At 46.8% G+C, this 7144-nt stretch overlaps 1 protein-coding gene across 13 annotated transcripts in view, besides 1 other annotated feature; it reads right to left on the bottom strand.

Moving 5' to 3' along the window:
- Positions 381 to 675: a silencer, noted in NCBI's record as "tiled region #1039; HepG2 Repressive non-DNase unmatched - State 23:Low, and K562 Repressive non-DNase unmatched - State 18:Pol2". NCBI's record gives its function as "represses a minimal TATA promoter and a strong SV40 promoter by Sharpr-MPRA in HepG2 and K562 cells {active_cell/tissue: HepG2 | K562}" and the evidence as "EXISTENCE:reporter gene assay evidence [ECO:0000049][PMID:27701403]".
- The window catches only part of AP2B1 (adaptor related protein complex 2 subunit beta 1), a 139092-nt gene continuing 135719 nt past the window's right edge, over positions 3772 to 7144 (bottom strand). For all 13 annotated transcript variants that reach the window (XM_011524450.3, XM_005257938.4, XM_047435509.1 and 10 more), the window contains one exon: positions 3772 to 6560. In XM_011524450.3, coding sequence (XP_011522752.1) covers positions 6486 to 6560 — 75 coding nt within the window. In that variant the 3' untranslated portion in view covers positions 3772 to 6485. The remainder of the gene's footprint in view (positions 6561 to 7144) is intronic.

Genomic DNA, 7144 nt, shown 5'->3' with positions numbered 1-7144 from the left:
TCTATGGAAGAGTTTTAAAGCAGGGACACACCTGCTCAGGTTGCATTTTAGAGCCTCCAGGGCAGGAGGAGGAGCAGAAGCTTGAGAGATATCCCAAGTGTTTTTACCCCTGGGACCCTGCATCCTCCACTGTGACCTCCTATTACCCTGTGCTCCGGCTCTCAGGCTCCCAAACAGAACTCAGTTTTCCTCCACAGTCTGACCTCTGCATTTTGGGCACCTTCCCTATTCCTCCCTTCCCTCTCCTGTTCAGTCACAGAGGAGAATGGGTATGAGCCTGGGCTTCAGAATCAGACAGAGCTAGATTTAAATCTTGACTCTGCCACTTACTATTGTAACTGAGGCAAGTAACTTGAAGTCTATAGTCTCATTTATTAAATGGAGTGTGATTAATTGTCCCTCACTGTTGTTGACAGGGTGTAAATGAGCTGAGGTGTGTAAAATCCTTAACACAATGCCTGGCATGTAGGAAGTCTCAGCATGGGGCCTTTACTTTTTGCCTTTTTAGGGACACGCAGGCATTCTACAGGAGGATGAGCAACACCGTGGTACAGCGGTTCCATTTATTCTAGGTAGGCTCCCAGAGGGTTGGGGTGGGGGTATGAAAGGACCAGAGCAGCAGCTAGAAGCAAGTATAGGGCTGGAATGAATTTGGCTTCCTCCTGGAGCACCACTTTTGGGGAGAATAAATCAGATTTTAACTGGCCCTGTGGGATCACATGGGGTCGCTAAGGGCCTCTTGATTGCATCACCTGTCCCTCCACTGTATCTGAAAATCTCTAATCCTCACCCTGCCCGAGGATCCCAGGCTTTATGTCTGCTCCCCCAGGCTGTGGCCCTCCATTCCAAAGGCGGACTAGAAGTAAGAAATTAAAATACACTAGGCGCTATGGCTCATGTCTATAATCCCAGCACTTTGGGAGGTCAAGGGGGGCTGAATGCTTGAGTCAAGGAGTTCAAGATCAGCCTGGGCAACATGGTGAAACCTCGTCTCTAAAAAGCATACAAAAACAGCCGGGCATGGTGGTTGCACACCTGTAGTCTCAGCTACCTGGGGCAGATCACTTGCACCTGAAGGTCAGGGCTGCAGTGAGCCGTGATAGTGCCGCTGCACTAGGGAAACACAAAGCTGCAGGTTAATTATGGAGCCTCATACTGGCCTTCAGTGAAAGGTCATTTAAAGGATTATTTTTATTTAAAAAAACAAACAGCAATTCTATCTACATGAAGTGGAAGATTTGCCTGAAGTTAGGATACAGTTGTCATCTTGGTTTGCTGAGAGTCACTTTGGCCTAAGAACATGCACCCCTAGGAGCCTGTTCACTCTCCCCCATCATTAGGAGCACTTTGATGGGAACATGTGAAAGACTCTGTACTTGGGTCTGACCTTGAGCCTCAGGTGGGTCTGGCTCAGCTGAGGATGCCTGCCTGTTGGCTGAGGTGCAAACTCAGGGAGCAGACACATGGGACCGCCTGCAGTAGCTGAGGCCCAGACACGAAGTGGGACAGAAATGTCAAAAACCCAGACCTGCCTACCTCTGCCCCTGCTCCATCATAGCTGAGGATCCTACTGAGCTTTCAGAGGCTATTAGGCCAGATCCTGGGGTCTCCGACCATAAGTGAAGAGTAAATGAAACAAGAGAGGGTGAGCTAGAGGCTGGACTTGAACATCATCCTCTAACATCTACCCGGTGGGAGAAGTGGGATGAGTGGAGTAATCTCAGCCCCAGAGCATTGAGAAATGATCCCAGAGATGGCAGTCTTGTCTCAAAACGATGCTCTTGGAAACAGCCATTGCAAGCACTTTTCCAGCTGAGAACCTGGGTGTAACCAACCCCCAAATTAGCCTTCCCTTTGTTGGCAGCATCAAGCATGGCAGGGCAAAAGCTAAATGAGAAATTGAGATGGTAAGTTTGGAGCCAACTCGGAAACTTTTCAAGAAACATCCCTTGTTGCTAATAACATGTCTGGGGGCTGGTTGGGATTCTAGGATTAGTGTTCAGGAGATAGAATTGGGTAACAACGGGGGAGGTGTGATCTTTTCCAAGTGCCATACCAGGTATTAAAATAAACAGGCTCTTGCCTCCTGGAGCTGGGGGTGGCAGGGAAAAAGAATCTGGGTCTAAGCAAAACCAGAAAAAGCATTAATGCACGAAGTGGGAGTAGAAAGCCCAAACCTGCGAGTCCTTAGCTGTTTTCTGACCTCAGAAACAATGTACCTGACATCTCAGTGTTTCCTAGTTGTCACTTTACAGGCAGAGAAAGACAGTGTAGTCTCAGGTGCAAGTCTGGGACCGGTGTGCTCTGAACATACTGGTATCCTAGGGGCTTAGCAAGCTGGGATGTGGCTGAGAGCAGAGGTAGGAGAGAACCTATTACAGAACCTCCAGTGGACGAAGGAGGAAGCTACAGTGTAGTTCTAAGGACACAGACAGGGAGTCAGAAGACGTGGCTCTGCCACATCTCATCTGTAAACTGGAGATGAAATTAAATTCATGAGATAGGTAAGGGAATAGGCAGGTATTGTACATATGGAAGTGCTTTAACCATTTTTCAACTGCCACAGAACATGAGTATTACTGTGGAAGAGGAAGTAGGTGAACAGGTGTGAGCCTCTCTCTCTGGCAGTGATTCTTGACCTTGACTGCACGTTAGAAAACACCTGGGAGTTTTAAAACATGCTGATTCCCCCAGGTACCATCCCAGACTGATTGAACTGAACCATGTCTTTTTTGAAAGCTCTCCAGGTGACATTAATGTGCACCGAAGAGTTGAGAACCTCTCCTTCAGGACTTTCTTTGCCCAAATTAACGTCATTCTTAACTGGCAACCCCGGTTTGACCCCTCTCACCAAGTGTTTTTCCTATTACAGCTAACTGCAGCCTGGCAACATGGAGACAACCAGAAAGTTCCTAGCTGCCAAAAGGCAGTTTGCTCATGGGGTTTGGACATCCAAGTAATAAAGGCAGCTACGGTTGCTGAGCACCTACTAAGTCTCAAATGCTACAGAGTGCTTTATCTACATTCACTCTAGTGGTGAGAGAGGTTCAGGGACTTATCCAGGGGCATCTTGGTGTTAGATCCCTCATTCCAGCCTCTTCCCCCCATTCCAGGCAGTGGGAGATCTCAGCAGCTGTCAGCTTATCAGAACCTAGGCTTGGCGGGGGGCCTCCTGTCTTGACAACATATGGGTCATATGCCCCCAACAACACAAATGCAGGCCTCTAGTCTTGGAACTCCCTGGGAAGCTTGTTTTAAAGCAGGATTAATTCCATTTGCTTGGGAATATGCAGGCCCTGAGGCCGGGTTTGAGAGACTTTTGTAAGTTGAGAGATGATTGAGACATCCTGGGTAATAAACCGATGAGAAGCTCTGCTGCATTCCTCTCGCCCTGGGCCCTGCTGGCTGGATGCCAACTGACAAGTCAGAAAAAGGCCCTGTGGCTCCGGCTACTGCCCCTGGGACCATTTGCCTGGGGCCCCAGCAGGGGAACTGCCAGGAAAAGACAGATTGACTCCTCTGAGCACTCCCTGCCTGCAAAGATGCCTGGAGTTGCAGTGGTGCTTTGGGTCTTGGTCAAAAGGAGCCCCCAGGAGGTATATGATTCTTCCTCAAGTCACTCTTAATTTCATGTGGCTGAATCCCTGGGAGGGCTGGGGCAGTCAGAAAAGTTTTAATAGAGTGGTTATGAATGTTCTGTCCCTCTCTGGCCTGCTGTGTTTTCTCCTAGAATGTCAGTTCTGGGGAAAAAAATACATACCACAAACTTCATTTTGTGTAAATGTGAGTTTATTGACGAAGACACAAGGTCAAGCTTCCCCCAACCCCCACCCTCCCGAAAAACAGGACCCAATAAGAACAGAGGAATGAGAAGCATTCTTAGGGCAACATTTCCCCTGCCCCCCCTCCCCATTTCTTTCCAGAGTCTCAAGCTTCACAACACAGACACAGAGCAGGCTTGGGTGAGGACAGACACTCAGGGAATCTCTGACCAGCAAAAGAGTTCTGGGTGTTTGCTTCTCCTGCTCTTTGTATGATGCCAGCTGACATTACAAAGACACACTCAGGCAGAGGAGGGGGGATGCAGGGCAACCTCCATCCCACTTCCCCAATTTGGCCAAGCTTGGAATGAGCCAAGAGGGAAGCCGTGGTGGAGGCAACAGGTTTTGCCTCTCAGGAGAGGTCCTTTTATGGGAAGTAGAATTCCTCCCTAACTCTGCTCAGGGGTGTGATGGGAGGTGGCTTCCCCAAGGAGTGAAGAGTTCATGGGTTGGCTCAGTCAGGTCAGCTGAGAATAGGAGCTGTTATCCATCACTGGTGGGGAGGCTGAGAGAAGCCTTGTTTCGGGGGTTGAGGGACATATTCTGATAGGAAATTGTGTTGTCTGCTTGCCCTGACACACTTTTCCTTCTGGAATGATAGTTTGCTTTGAGATGAGAACACTATTTGCAGTGTGAACCTTCTGCACTACTTGTATCCACTGACTCCAGGAATAAGTCCCAAGAAGGGAACTTTACCAACCTGCTTTTCCGCTCCACACATCACCGACCTATCCACCTCCCACATACAATCCTATGCTGTTTCCTACTGCCATGTGCTTCAGGGGTGGTGTGCAAGGGACATATTTCCTCCCTCCTTCCCCAAATATTTTTCTCTTGGAGATTCTCAAGGTTTAAGAAAGTGCTTTGTGGGACCGCTCCCCACAAGCTTTGCAACTGGTATGAAACAGGGTTATTTCAGACATGAAATAGGGGTGTGGGGTAGTTTTGCTCTTGTTTTCCACGATTCCTCCTCTGAGTCCAGTGAGTTAGGTCTCAGTCCAACATGACGCCTGTGGAGCCTGAAGTGCCCCTGATTTAAGCAGGGCATCTGAGAAGACCAGTCTTAGTCATGGACCCTGAATATTGGGTGCCAGGCAATGCAACAAGTGCCCGCAGATCAAACAGTGTAACACTGCTAAACAGGCTGGTATTTTGGGCATGAAGCATTCTTTGAAAAATCATATCCAACGCATTAAGTGGGGTAGGGGGAAGATTTCATATCCCCCAGTCTTTTCAGAGATGACAGGAACTGCCTGAACCTCTGGGATGATCTTAATATGCCCTGCAGACTAAGTATCATGAAGAAAGAGCAGATCAGAGAGCTGAAGGGATAAAGAGCATTTGCAACATCTCTAAGCTCACTTCATCTCTGCACCTATTCTGCTGGCCTCAATAAGTGGGGCTCCAGGGGCATATGGGAAACACTGGCTACACCTTCATTCTGGCATCTGGCTTTACCTTCGAGTAATTCAAAAGATATTCAGCTGCCACCTGATGCCAATATACAGAGCGTCAAAATCAATATGGAATATGTGAAGAGCCAAAAACTAGGCACAGAAAAGGCAGGAGAAGGCATTAGGGGAAAACGACAAGAGACAGTCCTGTGGTGAAAACCACACTGACGGGGACTTAGGAGACTCGGTCTCGGCTTTGCCACTACACAGCTGACGGGCCTTGGCGGTAACCTTTGTGCCTTTTATCTTTCTCCTTTGTAGGAAAAGAGGGTTAGATAAGTTATTACTCTGTTTCAACTCTAAAAGTAGAATTTTAGATTTGAACTGGACCTGAGAAATACAGGAGAGGGGGTGAGGGGACAGCATCTGGGTTCTTGTTCCCCATCTCTACTCAAATTCCTGAATTAGTGGGATTAGCAGGTTTGTTCAGGGGAAAGGAAAGGAGTAAGGTATAACTTCTGTCAGCTTTGGTGCTGACAGGCTCTATAGTTTTTGCACACTGAAACATCATTCAAGAAGATCACCGTTCCCAACTGCAGAGCAATCAAATGAGATTATAATATGGAAAGGGGGAAGCATGAAGGCTTGGCCAAGGAAAAGGAGTTTGGAGGGGAAAAAAAGAAAAAAGCAAACTGAAAATCCAAATGACCAGGGATAAGGCTACTACAGGTAAGAGAACCCATCAAAAGCTAGGGTAGGTAACTGCATCTCTGCCTCCAGGACTGTGTGGTTAATGACAGTCATTTCAATGCTTTCTACTGGTTGCACTAATCCCTTGATTTCTCATATGTACAAAAGTATAAAACAGTAAAGTGCAGTGTTTCAGTTACACTTTTCCTTGCTTTAATATTTGTTGTCTTTTTCTGCTTTTGAAATGAGCTCTCAATTACAAAATACCAAACTACACTCAAAAGAGGGTGTAGAAAAAGCCAGCCATTGGCACAGCATGGAGAAGCCCACAAGTAAGGACAGATAGCAGCAGCAGGTGGCAAGAGGTGGGAGGTGACTGAAGCAGTGGTTACAAATGTTCACAGGAAGCTAAAACTATCCAACAGGTTGTGCCCTAATGTTAGCACAGGTTAGACTAGTTACTACCTTGCTAGGTGGCCTCAGTGTGTTCAGATTCTACGCAGCAATACAATTTCTTCCAGTTAAGAGTTCTTGACTTGCACCGATCACAGCATGGTTGAAGGGTACTGGACCAGTCTTGTTAGTTTTTCAAAATGCTGTCGTAGACCTGATAGATGTATTGAGAGACTTCAGGAGCTCTACACTTCAGTGACAGCTGTTAGGAGAAAAAGGAGATGGAAGATTAGCACAGAGGTTGGCATTAGCTCTAAAGGTATCCAAGCACTCAGTTCAAGAAAACTTTTGACACAGTGGGAGAGAAACTTCTATCACTGGAGTAGCTAAACAAAGAGATTATGTTAATAAGTGCTGTGGGTTTTAGCATTTCAATTTAATCAATATCAAGTTGTGCTGTGCTTCTACCTCCATTCCATGTGGGTCTATAAGATTAGGAAATAATCCATACTAAAAACATCAAAGCCACTGACTGCAGAGCAACAGCTGCTCTAATGCTTTTCTAAGAGTTATAGGGATTATTATTAAATGAAAAGGGAAGGGCCAAAGCCCTTAACTTGTTGATGGTCCTTTCAGCTGCCTGCCTCAGTTTCTCAGTCTGACAAGAGGATGGCTATATCTCAGTCCCAACTTCAGGAGGATGTACAATCAAGTGAAATAAAACCATAAACTAGGTAGGTCCAAGGTATTAGTCCTTTCTGTATTATAATGAGGAGAGTATACACCCCTAAGAGGGAAGACAAGAACATGAAAAGACACTTACTTAGTATAACCCAACCTCAATTC

Source organism: Homo sapiens, chromosome 17 (assembly GCF_000001405.40).
Source record: "Homo sapiens chromosome 17, GRCh38.p14 Primary Assembly".
Lineage (NCBI taxonomy): Eukaryota > Metazoa > Chordata > Mammalia > Primates > Hominidae > Homo > Homo sapiens.
The sequence above is the reverse complement of the archived record's forward strand: the minus strand, read 5'-3'. Positions and strand labels throughout refer to the sequence as shown.